The sequence below is a fragment of the Homo sapiens genome, chromosome 7, assembly GCF_000001405.40.
Source record: "Homo sapiens chromosome 7, GRCh38.p14 Primary Assembly".
Classification (NCBI taxonomy): Eukaryota; Metazoa; Chordata; class Mammalia; order Primates; family Hominidae; genus Homo; species Homo sapiens.
This window is the reverse complement of record NC_000007.14, coordinates 15,666,078-15,687,205: the sequence shown is the minus strand read 5'-3', so window position 1 is coordinate 15,687,205 and position 21,128 is coordinate 15,666,078. Positions and strand designations below refer to the sequence as shown.

The following is a 21,128-nucleotide window of genomic DNA, read 5'->3' as shown; positions in this document are numbered from 1 at the left end:
CCTAGGCGCGCTGCGGCGCCCGGGGCACGGGAAGATGCAAAGTTTGAAAAACTTCGAGGGTGCGCCAAACTAGCTCTGGTCTTTTCCTTTAACCCTATTACTTCTTTCGTGTTCCTGAAAGGATAGGCGTATCCCTAGCTTTTCTGCAGGTGACAGTTCCCAAATGACACTGACAAGTCACGTTTCCCCGAGAGGAAAGTGAGTAGGTAGGAATCAGGGTGCTAGGTTGGGGGTGGTGTGCGCCGCGCCCAGGCCTCCAGAGTCTGGAGGGCAGAGCTGCTGCCCTCCCGGGCGGGACTTAGACGTTGGCGTGCCGCTTGTAGTCCTGGCAGCCGGCAGTGCTGGGCGGGCGTGGACGCTCTACGTCCGTCCAGCAGGAGATAGGAAGTGGAACTGGGAGCGCGTGGCGCAGGCTGAGCGGGAGTTTTGGAGGGAGTTTGCATGTGGTCAACTCTGGGCTCCTAAGCCAGCCCCCAGCTCACGTTACACTCTATTTATAACTTCTCAGAGCCATTTCCCCCTGAAAGCAGTTCTCTGGGACCACCTTCTTTTGGCTTCAACCTCTCCCACTCTTGACATCTGAGTAGCTCAGGGAAGCTCTTCCAGGTCCGACTGTTCATATGTAAAGGAGACTGGCCGCTGGGGCTCAGGACCGGGATTATCCGAGCTCTGCAGAAGTGCACCGCTATTGCTTTGGGAGGTTAAAAAAAAAATCACACGGTTTCCAGTGAAAAAGTGACAGAGGGTGGTGGCCTTTGGAACCGCCGTGAAGTCTTCTGCCTGGAACCCGAAACTTGCATGCTATGGAACACCCGCTCTTTGGCTGCCTGCGCAGCCCTCACGCCACGGCGCAAGGCTTGCACCCGTTCTCCCAATCCTCTCTCGCCCTCCATGGAAGATCTGACCATATGTCTTACCCCGAGCTCTCTACTTCTTCCTCATCTTGCATAATCGCGGGATACCCCAACGAAGAGGGCATGTTTGCCAGCCAGCATCACAGGGGGCACCACCACCACCACCACCACCACCACCATCACCACCATCAGCAGCAGCAGCACCAGGCTCTGCAAACCAACTGGCACCTCCCGCAGATGTCTTCCCCACCGAGTGCGGCTCGGCACAGCCTCTGCCTCCAGCCCGACTCTGGAGGGCCCCCAGAGTTGGGGAGCAGCCCGCCCGTCCTGTGCTCCAACTCTTCCAGCTTGGGCTCCAGCACCCCGACTGGGGCCGCGTGCGCGCCGGGGGACTACGGCCGCCAGGCACTGTCACCTGCGGAGGCGGAGAAGCGAAGCGGCGGCAAGAGGAAAAGCGACAGCTCAGGTAAGGGCGCGCCAGGCACCCTCGAGAGTGCGCGCCGGGCTGGAAAAGGGGCGGAGAGATACTAGGGGAGATTCTCGCACTGGAGGGTGGCAGCAGGGAAGATGGGAATGTGTTGCCCTCTGTGGCTTCCTGCGGCCAAATTCGGCGGTGAAGCTTTGGTCCTGATATTTGGGGACACGTGTTTATTCGAGAGCAATGCGTATACAGCCAGCAGCTCTAAGCCCTCCAAAGTCCTAAACTAGTTTACCAGAAGGTTGATAAAAAAGGACAAGTGGCTGTGAAATCGATTGTGAAGCGTGACCTTCCATCCCAGCGCTGGGGAGGGAGGGGCGTGCGCCCAGGGATGCAGCGTCCGTTGGGCAGGCGTGCGTGCGGGTGCCGCTTCTTGACTTTTCTCTTGCAAGTTGCCGACTCTGAGTGGCTCGATTTTTCCCATCGTTAACTGGATTTCCAAATTATTGCACAATGTTTGGAACTTGCAATGGAACTTGGCAGAGCGCATGAGAAAAAAAAGTTTCAGTTTTTTTTTTTTAACATTCTTATTTCAGCGTTCTTTAAATAGCACCCTATTTCAAATGGTAAAATTTTCCCTTTATTGGGGAAGAAGACATTATCTAGGAATTCAGATTTTAAGGAATGTGTCAGAGAATTGTAAATAAATAGATGCTCACACTGGAAGAAAGACGAACCTTAATAGTACATGTCCATGTGGTGTAAGCTAATTACAGAACCTAAGTTTCAAAAGTGGAAAATAAATCCCTCTACCAAGTGGGTATTAGTAGAGACAAATACTGCGAAGCAACAGCAACTCGGGTACTGTTAGTTAGATACGTGTCTAAAGGGGTATGCAAGGGTGCGCGCAGGAGGCGCTGATTTCAGTGGGGATAATTTGAGCAGCCATGCAAAAGGGGAACCTTCCTGACCTCTGGTGCTTGAAGGCACAACGTGCCGAATAAATTGTAGCAATCCAGAGAAACTCAAAGTTTCCAGACAAGTTTTCAAAGCTCTTACCTACCTGTATTTTTATAAAATTGTTAAAAGATACTTTAAAATTAAGAGACTTGTGAGTTTTCTTTCGTGGGTATAGTGCAACCTGGATTAAATACTTTTGGAAGGTGTCATTTGTTTAATATAATATTTGCATATTTTTCTTCCTCTGTGGAATTGGGTTAATAATAGTCCTAGAAGGTAATCCCATATGTTGGTTTGAAGGATTGGAAAAATGTTGATCGTGTGTAAAGCTTTAGGTAAGATGCCACATAAATGAAAATGATTGGCCGCATATTTAATATTCCTTCACCATTCACAGCAATATCAATTGTTCTTCAGCGTTACTATAGGATGGATTCTTCTCTCACGGTCTCAAAAGCTAACTTTTATTTTCCAAGGTCAGGGGGTGAACTTTTAATGTTCCATCACAAATTAGTTTTTATAAGAAAATTACCAGTAGTGTCACTGATATTTAATGTATTTTCCTAACTATAAGTGAAACTCTCTTTAGATAGTGAGTTGAAAGGTTAATCATAGCAAAAAGGTTTCAATTTTTATTAGAAAAACAGTCGATTTTAGAATGCAGTGACAATTTCATAAACTGAACATTTGATATCAGTGTAACTTTGGAAGCAGATCCCAGTTCGGGTTGATGAGCGTACTCTTGCAATTCCCATAAGCTCTTACGGTTCATTTTATTTCTTGCAATGAGAAACCTACATGATAGATTGTTCTTCATGCTTCCTGAACTGAGCCATTGCCCTTAAGTTTCTCAGGGCAAACAATTTTCATACAAGCACATGTTATTTTGTTTGGGGAAAACTGAGAAAACGGAATTCAATAACTGATTCCCTTAATTTATTTTAATAATTTTTTTAAAAAATGGAATAATTTAACAAAACTAATTTATCTCTCCCCCCCAACTTAGTGGGAAATAACCATTTAACAAAATTAAATTCATTTCTACATTTTGAAGCTGATAATGAGGGTACTGGAAAAACAAGCAAATATAAGTGTTTGTGTCAGCTACATAAATTATTAACAGATTAAAACTTCAGTGGAAAGTACAATTAGTCATCACCAAGGATAAAAATACTGGGGATTTAGAATGAGCTTTTCTTTCCTTTGATATGTTGAAGAAATATTGACTAAAAGGAAAATCACAATAGTTTCTGTTTAAATCTATGTACACTTATTGAAAATAAAATTTTATTTGCCAATTTCAGCTGAAGGTATATTTGTCAGATATTGAGATAGATTTAAATTAAAGATATCTTTCTCGTGTAACAATTGCATTAGGTGTTCCATAAATTATCTTCAAAGATATTTTATTTCATAGACATCTTGATCTAGCACAAACTAAAACAATATTGAAAATGATTATGATCCTGGTATGCTATTAATACGTATATCTCTCATTGCTTATAGCACATTTTAGTATTTCAATATTTCTAAAATATAAAATTGAAGTGATTTCGGAACTCCTGAAATTTAAAATTGTATTAGATAAAAATGTCATCCTATATAGTGAGATCATTTGTATTTTGTTAGGTAGTTTATAATTACTTTGCATTTATGGTTGAGAGAAAATTCAGTACATAAATCCAGGGTAAAGTCAGGACCAAAATTCTGTATCCCTGCATCTAATACTTAGACTGTATGTGTATGTGCTAATTCTAATTACCGTGTTAAATTCTAATAGAATTTTAAGCACCAGAAAGTATTGAAAAACAGCTTAAATATTTATAAACCTTACAATTTTATTCATAGTAACGATTTAAAACTATAATACGTAAGCTTCTCTAGCATATATTTTATGCACTTTCCCTCCACAAATGCACATGGACACACACATATGCAAACTCTAGCAGCTTCATGTTTTGGAAGCAAATATTTATGGACTTTAGGCTTCCTTTATGTAAGTTTATTGACAATTGAAAATAACCAAATTTAATAGAAAAACACACCATTATATTTTATATGTGTTAAACATTTTTGTAACTTTGAACCTGCTACGCTTTCCAGCATTATTAGCAAAGCCAACATCTGCCACGTCTTCAAAGGGACTCTTAAAAATCAAAACTTTACAACTGCTGAAAAAAATCACTACAAAGCAGGTGATTCTGAAAAATGTCTATAAATAGTGTGAATTGCTTGGCTTCAATTACATTTGGTTGCTCTTTGAGCAATCTAGTAGTAGGAATAAACTGCCCAGTTTTAGTTAAAATAACTAAAATTAATTCATTGATCGAACTTTAGCTTTTGTGCATGGTTATACAGTGTACATATCTAGATATTTTCTATTCAAATTTATGATACATATTTTATAAAAAATAGAAATTACATCAAAAAAGAAAAGAGCGATTTGGGGAGGTAGACTTTACTAGGTTTTGAATCATATTAGATTCTTGTAAAATTACAAATATTTTATTTATAGCTACTATGTCATAAAACCTTTGCTGTCAAATTATGTCTGTCTATATGCTTGACTATGCAGAATGACTAGCAAATATTACATTTAATAAGTTGGAACTTAAACTCAGAGTAATACCTTATCAACCTCATTCAGTATGATATTGTAATATTTCCAAGATATTTCAATCATTGTGTTTTCTGAAAGGAATAAATTAGTGTTATTATTCATTTCTGTGTTACTGGATTGTGGCTTTTCAGCATTTGCTTTAGAATTTAAAAAATAATATACTGGATCTTGAAGATTAAAGTGAAGTATTGAACAAATCAAATGGAGTACAAAAAAAAACTTCCATTCTTTATCTTGGACTGGTAGACTAATTTTAGGTGTGAACATTTAAAAATGGTAATCTGACATAAAAAATTCTAAGTATCATTGACCTACATGAGGGCTCTAAAATGTGATCTAAAATAATCACACTCAAGTTAAAAGCAACAATTCCTTTAGAATTAAAATGCTTTATTGTTGAACATTAGCAATGAATGGAAGGAAGAATGCAAATAAAAGTAGGAATAGTTTCCAATTCTGTGTAAATTTCTTCATTTATAGTTCATTTTAAAAGAAAAATCATAAATGCAAGGCATGGTATTGCACAAACTTTCACCGGGCTTAGAAATCCAGAACTTAGTATTTAAAGTTTTAATCTTTGTTTATGGTAATTATCAATAGAAACCTTTACAATGACATCTTATAAGCTGATCTTTACTAATAAACTGAAAAAACAGTACTTCAGTCATTACCCCATTCTCCCTCTGTGTTTCAAAACATAGACCGTTCATTATAACTCTGGAATTTAAGTTGTAATATTTATAATAAAATCTAAACATCCTAAGAACTTAATTTTAAGCAAAAATGAAATATCAGAAAATGTCAATCCTTTCTCTTAGATTCTGAGAAATTTGGGAGGTGAATTCCATATGTAATGAAATAATTACATTTTTTTTTGCACTTAAGAAATGTAAATCTATAGATGAATTAATAGCTGAATTATGTAAAACATCACCATATATAAGCCCACTACATGTACTTAGCCTGATAATGCTGCCTTGCTTGCGAAATTTTATTCATTTAGTGTTTTTATAATGGCAGCTTGACACACACAACCTAATATGAAGGTTTTTTAGATTTTAATTTCAAATGAGAAAAACCAATATAATACAGCAATATATTTTAGTTTTGAACTGTATTCACCTCAGGAATTTATTTCTAAATTTTCAGAGCAAATCTCTTTTCCAAGCACTGCTATGAGGGCTGCAAATATCTTTGAGCGATAAATACTAAGGATGCAGAAATATTAGAAAATAAATTACAGGTAGGAATTTCTTAAATAATATCTGTTGAATTAATAGTTGTGGATTATTTATCTCACCCAAATTTTCTTTATTTTTCTCACTTTTTTTTTTGATAAATGAAACATTTTGTGCAGGAAGATATATAAGCATTTCCCCCCTTGATTGTAATAATAAAAAGAGAAGGCTTAATTCTCAACTGGCCAGTTACATTGTATTTCCTGGCTTATAGTATTGGTAAATGATTTCAGTGGTTAAAATCAAAAGCAAAAAAATAAAATAAAACACAAACTAAGGCCAAAGTCCACAGATTAAAAATTGAAGTAGATGTGATTTATTTCCTATTTAGCATATTTAAGAAACAAGACACATTTTGTAGTCACAATTTGTTTCTACATATCATGTGCTTTAGATGTTAATATGGTTTACTGACATACATGTTTTGTAAAGATTGTAAATATAATGAGGCACTAACATTTTGCCTACTTTCCTTAGGATGCTCTCATGACTATTTCTTTTACTAGCGTGTTGAACTGAACCCCCAAGTAGAAAAGGAGTAACGGTGTAAAGTAAAGTTAGTTGCAAAACTCTCTACATTACTCCTAAATCACAGTCATCAGTGAGATTCAAAATCCCATTGGAGAAAACCTCGCAGAATATTTTATGTGTTTTAATGTAGTAAAACTTAGAATGGTCAAGAACATATAGGGCTCAGCCTACAATTTGCGTTAGAGGCAGAATTAATCTAAATCTGATGCCCATTTCTCTAACAGTTCTTCCCGTTTTACTTACATTATAAAAATATTGAATTTTTTAAAGAATGTTGTACTAGATAGTATTTTATGATACAAAATAATCAATAATGTATCTATTGATCCATTTGTGCTCATCTCAGATGTTGTTTTTATGTTTCAGAATAAGTATTTTCATTTAAAATCTCTTGACATTATTTATTACCAAATTAACAGAAAGTTACATGGTAAGTGTATGATCGAATGGGTTATTAATTTTCATGGGTCATGAGTGGGTTTTTAATTTTCCTCTATATTTGAAATTTTTGATATATAATTTCCGGAATAATAAGTAGCTCATTATTCCTGAAGCTTTCATTTATAATGTTACTTTGTGTACAGAAATATAATATTTCTAAATTTATATATGTTACTCACTACTAATTGTGCACTGTATTTTTAAATATTGGTTTTCACAGTGTTATGAAAATAATTTACATTTTTTTGGTTTCTTACATCACCATATGCACAAGAATGATCAGGTAGAATCCGTACTGTATCTATACATTTTTGGAAAGGGTTTGTATGAAAGATAGAAAAACCCTTTCAAAAATAATCCCTTGTTTTATCAATAGAATTAGAAATTAATAAACTGGATCATTAACTTGTATGATAATATTGTTATTTTATTTTTAAAATTTCCATTTATTTAAATGTTTAATAATTCTAAAATGTTTGTGTACCTTGATGACAATTCTTATGTCCTTACAATGTGTACTTTTATTGCAAATATAACATATTTTTACTAGGTAGTAACTCAGTGGTAAAAACTTTAGGGTACTGATTATAGCTCTAAATTCAAAAGCTGTTGCTCTTCAAAATTTTGTAGAATCAATTCAATGTGAATGTTTCAAATGTATTTAAGTATTCTGCTGTTTGTGTTCATAAGCTTTCTTTCTAAGATGTTAGACGTATGTTTCTTAAAGCTTGCATAGGCTACATTGATTAAAATTATGATTATAAGCTGCTTACTTTCATAGTTTTTTGTTTTTATTGTAGTCTAGTAGAGAGGACAATGGCAAGGAAAGGATAAAAGGGAGGGTGCTGAATTAACTAGGACATGGAAGCTATACTTAAAACACACGTTAAAAGAAGGCGTTTACTTTATATATGTATATACATATATAGGTATATGCACACTCACACCCACACATATATATGCATGCATTACTGTAACTCCAAATTTAATTTCCTGATAATAGTAAATCTGAATTAGAGCATCCTTATTAAATGCATAATATGATTATAAATGTTCCAATTACAAAATTAAATATTAAGCTTGAAGCATATATAGTTTTGTGAAGAGTCCAGCAGGCTTAAGCTGGCAATCAATGATAGTTATAAAAGTCCCTGCAGTTTTTGTTTTCTTTTGTTTTTCCTCTTTATTTAGCTCATTATTCTTCACACACTTCAAGAGAATCCCATAATGCTACAAGGAAAAAACAAATTCGCAGTTATCTTACGTGACTGTGGGCAAGAAAATGACTAAGGTGAAATCATCTGTCAGGCTCCGCAAAACCTAGAGGAGGGTCCAGCTTAGGTTGGCAGATGCCAGTAGAATTTTAAAGGCCTAGAATTTTACTCTTTGAAAATATAGCCTTAAATTTTTGCCAGAAATGACACCCAAATGAAAACTTATTTTTGCAAAGTGATAGTTATTTGCAAATGCAGTAGTGAAATATATTCAGAGTCTGTTGAGGTAGCTTGTCCACTGTCTGGACTGCACAGTAAACATTTGGATGGTTATTCTTAGCCACCCAAAAAACTAGCAAACTAAACTGAGGTGTATTCTTATTAGTTGAAAAGATTAAATGGGCATGCCTCTTATCAAATTAACAATGAATGCAAAGCAAATTTTGCAAATCATTGATTTATGTTGGTAGGTAACACAAACAGGAAACTATTCAGAAAAATAAATATGTGTTATCCGAAACGTAATGGGGACTAGCTTGGTTTTGTAGAACAACAGCAATTTAGCAAATAACTTTCACATTTAAAGAACCATATAAATAATGCTTTAGCACTCACTGCATAGGTTGGAATCAAGTGATGTCTTATTTAATATTATTCAAAGATAAAATGAGGTCTTAGTATGTGTAGTGCCTTTAACAATTAAAATTTTCTCACCTATAGGCTATGCTTACGTGGGAATTTCTTTTTCTTATTTGAAGTATAAACAGATCTGGATGCATTAAACTAGACAGAATGTAGATGTAAAAATGATTGAGACATATTAAAATGACAGGAAAGTCAGAGTTTAGGCATCCCTATTTGGAGGCTTGCTGCCACCCATGTTTCTAAGATTACAGTCTTGTGAATGTCCACACTCAAAATTCAGGGAATTATAAATAATTTTTCCTCCAGAACTATTCTTTGCTCCTGGAAGTAGAGCTGTATAATTTATTTTCTAGAATACCCAGATGTTTAGGAAAGTATAAGTAAGTGGCAACACTTTTGCATATTTAGCCATTAGTTGATAAATCATAAAAGATTTATCCTATTTCTTAATTATCATATTAGACAAGGAAATAGATGTCACACTCAAAGGGATAATTGAAGAGAGTTTGATGATGGCAATTTGATGGTGAGTAGAATGTAGGGAAACCACAGGAAATGATGAATCCCCCAGGGTCTGTCCACAGTTGGAATATATTAGCACCCCTAACCTGAGAGGGTAAATGCAGGGACCTCTTACCAGAATCCAATGAGCGCAACAGGACAGAAGCCTTCTGGAAAAGTTGGGACCTCAGATGGAGGATTGCAGCTCATGTCGAATATCATCCAGTAACCTGTCTTCATGTCCTCCAATCTTCTTTTGTTGCTTCCATTGATCAAACACTATCCGAAGCCAGAACCCCGGAGGGTTAGGTGGATGCAACCCTAAGAGTCAACCGAAGAAGAAATGAGGCAAGCATATCTGGGAGAACACAATAGTTAGGGCTAAACCCCCGCTGTGTCTCTTACTATTGTCACCTCTTGGCCACAAATTTAACTTTTCTCTACCATCGTTTCTGAAAAGGAAATTGAGTTAATATACACAAAGCAATTAGAACAATGTCTGGCTTAGTAAAGTGTCAGTTATTATTTTTATCATCTATCAATGAATGTACAATTATGTAATGCATATGCACCATCTGAAAATAATCTATTTTATGCTACCTGTTTGCATTTTATTACAAATACTGCTATAGGAAATGTAACTTGCCTAAGTAATTACTAAAGATTTAAAATAATCATTGTCCTTAGAATTGTAAACGGCATGAAATTTCCCTGAAATGTAAGGTGAATTCTAGCCAAGTTATGTAAGAGGCTCAAGTTGCCTTTCCCACCCTTAAGATTTCCATTCCACAGCCTCTTTTACTTGGACCTCTCCTAACTTCCTCTTCTCTTGGGTCTCCTGCTACTTCTCCATTGAAAAGCTGTTTTCAGGAAGAGTGCATATTGAGCAAAATAAAGAATAAAATGAGGACTCTTTTTTTTTTTTTGAGACCGAGTTTTGTTCTGTTGCCCAGGCTGGAGTGCAGTGGCGCAATCTTGACTCACTGCAACCTCTGCTGTCCGGGTTCAAGTGATTCTCCTGCCTCAGCCTCCTGAGTAGCTGGGACTACAGGCGCCCGCTAATTTTTATATTTTTAGTAGAGACGCGGTTTCACCATGTTGGCCAGGCTGGTCTCGAACTACCTACCTCAAGTGATCTGCCCACCTCGGCCTCTCAAAGTGCTGGGATTACAGGTGTGAGCCACCGCGCCCGGCCAGAACTTAACTTTTTAAAAGGAGTGTACAGAGGGGCAGGGCATTTAGTCAAGAGGAAACAGAATTTAAATAAAAGGAATTCAAATATGACAATGAAATTTTGGGTCTCTGTTTTAGCTGTTAACTAGGAGGGTGGGAATGACATTTTCCTGCTATGTTAGAAACTTTATTGCAGAGAGAATTTTCTTATTGTTGCTCTGTTATTTTTAGCAGTTCCAGTTGCAGACCCTTAGGAATGGCAAATGTGCAAATATTACTAAAAGCTGAAAACATGTATGTCCCACACAAAATGCATGAACAGAATTTTATTTTGGTGATATAATTTCTTTTTACAAAGAACATATTTTAATTATTTGTTTGTTCACATTTGCATATTTAATACGTTATTGAGAAATATCACTTAGATAGAGATAAAAGAGAACAACAAACCCCTGGAATTGCAAGTCCTGGGTGGTTGACTGCGTTGACTCAGTTTAGTCACCTCTCCCACATCCATAAGGCAGTGTGCAGAATTCAGACATGACTTCAGCGAAATTTTAAATGATCATATATGCGAGACTTCTACAGTGCCTTTTGAATAAATAATAGAATCAAGCATTATATTAAAATCACAAATGCAGAGTTAACTTTTTAAGCATTTTCAGATCCATAGCAATTTGATCCCTAAAACAAGAGAAGTTTAAAGGAACAGAGAGTGTTTCTCTGTTAGATAATAGAAGAACTGGGAGGATGTAGGTAGAAGAGTACAGGAAGAAGAGCAAAATATTAAATGTCCGATAATACACAGCAGGGACAAGAAGGGTCCAACGGCATCAACCAGTGCGTTGACTCTTTGATTTTAGAGGAGGCTTGATTTGTCAAAGTTTTCTTAATGAATTGTAACCTGTAATATTTAAACAGATGATTAGAATCAAAATAATCAAGACACTAGAAGAGCCTCAAGGCACTACCCAGTTCAATGAATGTATTTCCTAGATGAGGGAATGTGCCCAGAGAAGTTAAGTAATGTCTGTCCATTCAGCCAAGTAGTGGCAGCTGAGCTTCCATATCCTGACTTCAGCCTAGTGCCCTTAAAAGGAAAATCTCGTAAAATATTTTGAAGCCTTAAGTTTTTAGTCTTCCCAATAAAAATAAATTTCAGCATCACTTAAAATGTTGACTACTGCTTTTAAGTGAACAAAATGGAATTTGACAAAGTGCTTTGCTTGAGTGTAAATTACCTCTCCCAGAATCTGATTTCATGATTACCTCAGACATTTTTCAGCTTTGTTTTATGAATGTAAACAGTGATCAACTTTCTTAGCTTCAATTTTTAATTTTTTTAATGATGTAGCTCTTGTGGTCAATTACCAAAGTACCTGAATATATTTGACACAGTTTAATAGCTGGCAATGTGCAGATGGGCTTTGCTGTAAATAGTAGATATTTATGTGAACAGAATCATATTTTAGGCAGTTATTTGTGAATTGAAGTATCTGTTTTTTGTTTAAAAATTTAACATTTAATCCAAGTAAATTTTGTTAAGTTGAGCATTACCTATATTGTATTTGCCTTTTTTTGTGTTTGGATAAAATAATAAAAAACATTACTACAAGCAGAACACCAGGAAACCTTCCCTTATCTCAAGTCCTTAACTTTATCCCCAGTTTTAGAAAACCATTGATTTTAAAAAATTTAATATAGTCTTTTTGCACAGAAGATGCTGAAAAATATTAATGATTGGTCATTTTTCTTATGCTAACCAGGCATGCTTTCCTTGTTTCTCCTCCTCTCCTGTTCACACCCATCTTCCCCACAATGTGTAAACACCAGACCCATCTGTTCCTCTCTAATACAATGAACTGTGTAACCTCTGGAGCAGTCTAACATTGACCATTCTTGTCTATTTCAGATCCTTAGTTCTTACAAGACTCTCAAAACACAGAATTAAATATCAAAAATACAGTTAATTATTCCATAACTTTTTTCCTTTTGTTTTCTAAAGACAACACCATTTCTAAACATGCACACACACACACACACACACACACACAGAATCTTTTATCTAATTAATTTTAATTTACTGCCAAATGCTTTCACATTTATAGTCTCAGCTGATGATTTCTTCTTTTCTATTAGACTTATATTTAAGACTGAGTTCCATTGCTTCATCCTACCAGAGCATGGTTCAAATCCGTTCTATTCCATATTCTTCTATATTTTTCCCCTTTGCCTACTTTCAGGTCTCTTGCACTTAATTTAGTTCTTTCCCCCAGGACTCCCAAAGTGAGTATTCTCTGAACATCTTTATCTCTTGTCATTCTTCTCTAATTAAATGCTGCAGAATAATACAACATGTAGTATTATTTTGACCGTATCATTTCTGTTTGTGGAATTCTATGATAACCTGAAATTATTCTACACTTAAAATACAAATGTTGAATTATTGGCTTTGAAACACATGACACAGGGACCGGCTAATGTCAATCAATAATATGTTATTAGATATTACTTGTACTGGCTTTTGTGTGTAACCAAATTTTGTTTAATATTATATCTATCTATAGATATGTATGTATTATTATATCTATCTGTCTATCATCTATCTATCTATATACACATACACATATATGCGTATGTGTGTGTATTTAGAGCACTGCTTTTGTGGCAAAGTGAACTTTTCACTTAGTCTTTGGAATATGATGCTTAATGTTAGGAGTTTAAGACAATGTTCTGATATTTTCTAATGTGAATATCTAAATGTTTATAGTTTAGCTACATTCAAGTTTTCTACAGGATTTTCCACATCTCTTAGTTAGTCAAGAATCCCCAGTGACATGTTATGCCTTACTATCGAATCTCCTCAGAAAAGAATTTAGACTATATTTTAATGGATTTCTGTCTACAATCTCTCATCTTAATCGGTACAACCTTTATTGACCAGCTAGGACCGTTTTTGTTGATGTTGGTTTTGCTTTTGTTCTGACCAATCTTTTTTTTTTTTTTTTTTTTTGATAGACTTGTTTATGTCTATTCCTCATCTAAAAAAAAAAATCTTTATTTTGAGGTAATTGTAAATTCACCTTCAGTTGTAAGAAGTAATACAGAAGGAGCCCTTATTCAGATTTCACTGTTTTATATGCACTTCTGTGTGTGTATTTAGTTCTATGACGCCTGCCAGATTTATTTTTTATTTCTATCCCATAGCCTGTAATATATTTTCCCAATCTATATGCATCATTTTCATTAAAATGTGGATGGTTACACCTTTTAAGATCACTACCTCCCTACACTAATCATTACTTTTCCCTTGCCATATAATATCTATAAAGTGCAGAAGACTACACTTACATTTCCCCTTGTGGCCTAGTTCACATGTCTCTGGTTTTTTACTTGGATCAGAAATATGCACTCCCTAAGGAAAAATTAGTGTTTTCTTTTTCTTTTAGTGTGTTTTCCAGCATAGGCTTAGGTGCACAGTTCTTGGTAAATCCTATTTCTGGCATAGGAAATGCTTCCCTTATAATGAATGATTTCTCCTTGTTAGGGGTGTTTTGAAGGTCTTGGTTCCAGGCTTTTAGAATAGGGCAAATTTCGAAGATGCTTGGGCAATCTGTAGGAGAGTTGAATGACTGTCCAGGTTAAGTTTAATTATCTGTGTTTGTGTCTAATTGATATTTATGGATACTTTCTTTTTTCTTTTTCTTTTTTTTTTTTTCAAGACAGAATCTCGCTCTGTTGCCCAGGCTGGAGTGCGGTGGCACGATCTCGGCTCACTGCAACCTCTGCCTCCCAGGTTAAAGCAATTCTCCTGCCTCAGCCTCCCAAGTAGCTGGGACTACAGGCACGTGCCACCATACCCGGCTAATTTTTTGTATTTTTAGTAGAGATGGGGTTTCACCATTTTAGCCAGGATGGTCTTGATCTCCTGACCTCATGATCCGCCCACCTTGGCCTCCCAAAGTGTTGGGATTATGGGTGTGAGCCACCGCGACCTGCCCAATATTTACGGATACTTTCTAAAGTGAAATACCTTTGATTGTATGTGATATATTTGCTATTATTGGATTAATCAGGACAAAAATAAGTATGCATTTTTAAAAGTTTAGCATAAACCAGCAAAACAATCTATAATTTCAAAGGTAAGATGTCTATATTTTTAAGAATTTGGAAACTGTCAAGCCTAATTTTCTAACATGTGAGAATGCCTCATTACATTATTTTTAAGTAAGACATAAGATTCTATATACATTCTGTGCAGTTATGCTATACATTGTTGAGCTTCTGAGCATTACATACAGTCAAGAAACATAGTATTTAATATGCCAGTCTAATAGAGACAAAACATTAAATAAAACATGGAATCATTGGACAACTGAGAAACATAAGGAATATCAAGCAATCTGCATTGTAGTAATGGATAATGGCGAAAATAGTTGGTGATTTGAAAATAAAAAATAGATTAATTTCAAATTTTTCAATTGATCACTTTGTTTTTTTGTTTTTTTTGTTTTTTTTTAAACGGAGTCTTGCTCTGTCACCCAGGTTGGAGTGTAGTGGTACGATCTTGGCTCATTGCAACCCCCGCCTCCTGGGTTCAAGTGATTCTCCTTCCTCAGCCACCCACGCAGCTGGGATCACAGGCATGCACGAGCATGCCTGGCTAATTTTTGTATTATTAGTAGAGATTAGTAGAGATTAGTATTATTAATAGAGATGTACAATTATTAGAGACCATATTGGCCAGGCTGGTCTTGAACTCCTGACCTCAAGTGATAAGCACTTCGTGGTCTCCCAAAGCACTGGGATTACAGGTGTGAGCCATCATGCCCAGCCCAAATTGACCAATTTTTAAAAAAGAAATGAAAAATCTCCTTTATGAGGACCTTGATACAATGATACTGATTTAAACTGTAATACCTGTGTCATGTCACTCTGATTTGAGTATGACTGGTTAACCATATTCCTCAATGCTGTTTGTTTGTGTAGTTATGAGACACTGATAAGTAACCACACTGTGGCCTGGCTTGTAAGGAAGGAGAAATGATAGTGAGGGGTGGGCAAGCTAATAAAGTCATTTCAGCTCTGGGTCTGGGCTTAGTCACGTAAACTGTCTAATAAAAGGAAAGTGTGCAATAAGTTTACTTGTGCAATTGAGTTAGCATTTATTTCTGTAAGGAAGTAAAAATCAATCCATATTGCAACACATTTTGATAGGTTTAAAAAAATCTGTTAAATCTGATCAGTTTGGTTACCAATGACTCTGATACTGATTCCATTTTAGCAATTTCTTTAGTTCATAAGAACAGATTACTGTCAGACTCTCCATGCTTCTTTAATTTATCATAAAATTACTTTTTTTCTGACTAGTAATTCTCAACACTGATGTTACATTGGAGTGATATGGGCATTTTTAAGAAATACTGATATCTCATAGAATATGATTAAGTTCATCTAGAATGGAGCTGGCATTTAAAAATTTTTATATTGGAAAATTACAGCATTTAAAAAATAGAGAGAATTGTGTAATGGACTTCCCTGTGTCCATTATGTTCAATGTTTATCAACACATGGCAAATCTTATTTATTTGTGCCAACCCACTACTGCCTCATAGTGTCCCAATTATTTTGAAAACATCTCAGATATCTTATTATTTTATCTGGACATTAGTATTTTTAAAAAAGCTTCCAGGTGACTGCAATATATAGACAAAGTTGAGAATTACCAGTTTAGAATAGTCTTGTTTCTCAGTTGAAAAGTTCTGAGAGTCAAGGACCCCGTAGTCTAAATATGATCTTTTTCTGCACCTGGAGAGCAATGTCAGACAGGGTTGCTCAACAAATATTACAGATGTGCTAGAAATGACCATTTGTACATATATGCTCAGCATCAATTATTTTAACACTGTTTTATGTCATGTAGTATGGTATGTAAAGCCACATGTTGCTATGTAAATTTAAATTTTAACTAAATAAAATTAAAAATTCAATTGTTTGGCTCCACTAAGCACGTTCCAAGTACTCAATAGATATATGTGGCTACTAGTGAATGTATCAGGCAGCACAAATATAGAACATTTTCATATGTCAGTAACTCCAGCTGGACAGTCATTCTAAACAACGAGACAAATTTTCTTACCCTTCAGCTACTGAAGGAGGCATCAAGGATGGGATCCCTCTCCCACCTCAATGGACAAAGAGATTATCAGATTCAAATACCACAACAAGCCAATTACAATGAAAAGTTGAAGCATATCTGAAGGTGAAATGTAAAGAGTAGTATTTTACCAAATGCCTTCATGGATAAATTCTTGCATCTATCAACCAAATATTTATGAAAATAAAATGCATTCATTGTTTTGAAGAGGACAAAGTGCATCCTAAAATAATTATTAAACATAATGCACATGTGTAAGATATGGGGACTTATCAAAATAAAAGCAAAATCAGAAATATGAAATCATTGAATTGTAGATACCCAATTAAAATGAGGTAAAGCACAACATAACAATGGAAGTTAATGTAAGAAAAAAAGTAGAATTTTGGAAGCAGGAAAGCAAACAATAAAAGCATATTCAAGAATGTAAGGTCAACTAGGGAGATTCTTCCAGGCCTCTTGAGGAATGGGGAGGAGACATTTTTCTGGGAAAGGATGGGGAACACGCCAGGAACTAGGCTAGATTTTCCAGGGGGAAAGTATGAAAACTTAATCGAATCAGGCAGTGGCAACTAATGACCTAGAATCATTAACCTTTAAAGCCTCTCAATAGATGTAGTCTTTAGAAATCCGTGGTCTGAATTCCAGAATCGCAAGTCAGGTAGCTGAGAAACAGAAGCTACTAGAGGAGTTTTTAACTTTTTAGAAGGAGAATAAAGTATTCATCCTGGCATTAGAAAAGAGCAAATGCAAAAGAAAAGAGTGACGTATAGGGAGTCTCTTGTCTATACCGTGAAACATCTGGGCCTGTTTGGCCGTGGCCATACATTACGCAATTCAGCTGCCACGACTGCAGAGTTTTGACTATGTGGGAAGCAGGAGGACTATTCACCAGTGAATTCATTTTTAATAAAGATTAATTGGGAATTAATTGAGGATTAACCTGCTAGTGATTTGTGATAGAAAAGGTAGTATTAACGCTACACATTAGGCAAAGATATTACTGGACATATTCACGTTAGAATTTATGAGTTGAGAGTGTGCGTTAAAGTATGAAAATGTAGAAAAAGTGTTAATGATTGCAATCAGGATATCTTAGAAACACAAAAAACAAATATACATATTATAGCACTTGAGCCAAATATAAATAAGTGCCCAGGCAACTCTCATTATTCACAAGGGGTTTTGGAACAGAAATAAGTCTAGACCAAATACAATTTGTAGTAAAGTTTTACTGGCGGTATAGAAGAAGTGTAGAGAAAACCTTTCAGTAGTTTTCATTGAGTGACATTTATGAGTTTACTTTTATATTGAAACTTTACTCGTACGATATTGGTGTCATTGGTGTGTAAATGTGTGGATGTGGTAATTGTGTTATTAATACCAATTGTTTTTTACTTTAGATTAATAAATCTGACTTTTTGCAAATTAAGAAATGGTGCTATTGTTTTTTCCGTGGACATAGTAAGGAGAGGTAAGAGATGATGTTTTAAATAGAAACCACTTAGAAGAAATAGTTTGCGTATGTATAGCATCCCTATTAGAGACACTAATTAAATTTATGTTAATTAACTGCAGTAGAGTTGACCCTTGAATAATGTGGAAGTTAGGGGTGCAGATCCCCATGTGCAGTTGAAAATCCATGTATAACTTTCAAGTCTCCTAAAACGTAACTACTGGCCAGGTGTGGTGGCTCATGCCTGTAATCTCAGCACTTTGGGAGGCTGAGGCGAGCGGATCATCTGAGATCAGGAGTTCGAGACGAGCCTGACCAACATGGTGAAACCCCATCTCTACTAAAAATACAAAATTAGCGTGGTGGTGGGTGCCTGTAATCCTAGCTACTCAGGAAGCTGAGGCAGGAGAATCGCTTGAACCCAGGAGGCGGATGTTGCAGTGAGCCGAGATAGCGCCACTGCATTCCAGCCTGGGCGACAGAGCAAAACTCTGTCTCAAAAGAAAAAAAACAAAAACAAAAACAAACTTAACTACTACTACTAGCCTACTATTGCCCAGAAGTCTTATCAATAACATAAACAGTAGATTAACACACATTTTTAATGTTATATGTATTATATACTGTATTCTTACAATAAAGTAAAGCCAGAGAAAAGAAATGTTATTGAGAAAATCATAAGGAAGAGAAAATATATTTACTATTCATTAAGCGGAAGTGGATCATCATCAAGGGCTTCAGTTTTCATCACCGTCAGGTTGAGCAGGCTGAGCAGAAGGAGCAAGAGAAGGCAAAGGTCTTCTGTCTCAGGTAGGAGAGGCGGAAGAAAATCCATGCATAAGTAGACCTACACAGTTTCCACCCCCTGTTGTTCAAAGGTCAACTGTAGTTAAATGCATGTTAGTACACAGTAGAAATAGGTAGTTTCCACATTACTTGGCTTTACCTTGAAAACTCGGGATGTGAGAAAAACGAATTAAACCAATAAGAAATTTAAATATGTTATTCCAAGGGGATGGAATAAAGTGGATCTGTTGTTTAACTGTGTCCTAAAGAGGTGCTGAACTAGGGAGGGACTGCTTAACACAAGAGGCACACACACAATGTGATTAAGGGATTTTCCTCATTAAGTAGCTGAGCTATTCTCAGGTCAGATATAAATACTTCCTCACATTTTCTCTACACTTCTAATACCTTGTAAAAACTTTCTCCTTTTACATCTCTTAATGAAAATATACTTCATTTAAAATCACTTATTAACCTTAGGAAGCACATTAGTATTTTAGCCCAAGATGAATTATTTAAAGGGAGGAGCTCAGAAAAGGATGATTTTCATAAATGGTTATTCATTTCAAATTGTAGCCTACCTCCCCTAGGTCCCCCAACACACACACCAATGCAATAGGTGTTTCAGCAGCATCATAATTAATAAACTTGTACATAATTCCCTAAGTTCCAGGGACTTGGCCCTACGCTTTGGGTACACTAAGACGAACAGAACACCTTGAGGTTTCTGGAAGCGTCCGCAGTACAATAGGGAAGCCAAAGATGGAAACAAATGGTGACAATCTGTGACAGAGGGTATAATAATGCAGCAAACATGATGCAAATATTCAGAGAAATCCAGGGAGTTTCCAGGAAAAGGGTGGCAGCTGCCTCAACTCCTCTCACCTCTTATTTCCTACTTTTTTTTTTTTTTTTTTTTTTTGAGACAGAGTCTCACTCTGTTGCCAGGCTGGAGTGCAGTGGTGCAATCTTGGCTCACTGCAACCTCTGCCTCCTGGATTCAACCAATCCTCTTGCCTCAGCTTCCCAAGTAGCTGGGACAACAGGCGTGTGCCACCACACCCAGCTAATTTTTTGTATTTTTAGTAGAGACGGGGTTTCACCCTGTTGGCCAGGATGGTCTAGATCTCTTGACTTTGTGATCTGTCCTCCTCGGCTTCCCAAAGTGCTGGGATTACAGGTGTGAGCCACTGCACCCAGCCTTATTTCCTACTTCTAAAAGCTGATGAGTACATGAATATCTAGTAGATGGTGGCCAGAATCTAATCATTTTGAAGAAAAACATAAGGGACCTTGTCAAGTAATAAGGATATTTAATTCAGTGTGGCTTTTGGGTTCCTGGAATCCTGTGCAAAATCTATTCCTAGGATATTCTTGTTCATATCCTCAATTTTTACCATTTGAATATATATATATATATATATATATATATTTTTTTTTTTTTTTTTTTTTTTTTTTTTGAGACAGAGTCTTGCTCTGTTGCCCACGCTGGAGTGCAGTGGCACGATCTCGGCTCACTGCAACCTCCGCCTCCCAGGTTCAAGCAATTCTCCTGCCTCAGCCTCACAAATAGCTGGGACTATAGGCACATACCACAACGCCCGGCTAATTTTTTGTATTTTAGTAGAGACAGGGTTTCACCGTGTTGCCCAGGCTGGTCATGAACTCCTGACCTTATGATCTGCCCGCCTTGGCCTCCCAAAGTGCTGGGATTACAGGCATGAGCCACCTCAGCCGGCCCCATTTGAATATTTCTTTGTCTCATGCACCAAGGTTTGTGAAGCAGTAATTGATCCAAGGTTACTAAACTTTGTATTTCAAAAATACAATTCCTAGGACATCATTAGATAAAGTCACAGTGAAAGGCAGGAGATTTTCATAGCTGGTTAAATATATATAAGCTTTATTATTTTTGGCATGAAATCAATGCCATTTTGATAAGGTAAGGGAGGATTAGGCCTATGGAAGTCATTGAGAATTACATTTATAGGCATGACATTGTATTGGCTCTCCCATGTTTCGAGGACTGACTTTAGATGACAATTATGAAACAAGTTATGTGACTTTTAGCCCTTTCTGAGTTTCCCTCCATTGGTCTTGGCATTTCTTCCTTTATTTCCATCTTTATCTTGAG

At 36.3% G+C, this 21,128-nt stretch overlaps 1 protein-coding gene and 1 long non-coding RNA gene across 2 annotated transcripts in view, besides 1 other annotated feature; one reads left to right on the top strand and one right to left on the bottom strand.

Moving 5' to 3' along the window:
- Positions 523-21,128, top strand: part of MEOX2 (mesenchyme homeobox 2) — a 75,472-nt gene continuing 54,866 nt past the window's right edge. The window contains exon 1 of the mRNA NM_005924.5: positions 523-1,320. Within this exon, the coding sequence (NP_005915.2) occupies positions 804-1,320 (517 nt within the window). The 5' untranslated portion in view covers positions 523-803. The remainder of the gene's footprint in view (positions 1,321-21,128) is intronic.
- Positions 1,327-2,159: an enhancer, noted in NCBI's record as "H3K4me1 hESC enhancer chr7:15724672-15725504 (GRCh37/hg19 assembly coordinates)". NCBI's record gives its function as "activates a minimal SCP1, AML or CMV promoter by ChIP-STARR-seq in naive H9 embryonic stem cells {active_cell/tissue: H9 hESC(naive)}" and the evidence as "EXISTENCE:reporter gene assay evidence [ECO:0000049][PMID:30033119]".
- Positions 5,226-19,259, bottom strand: LOC105375166 (uncharacterized). Its single transcript, NR_134258.1, has 4 exons — positions 18,910-19,259; positions 11,046-11,186; positions 9,559-9,743; positions 5,226-8,292 (listed from the first exon to the last, which is right to left on the bottom strand). It is a non-coding gene; the product is annotated as an uncharacterized LOC105375166 (long non-coding RNA).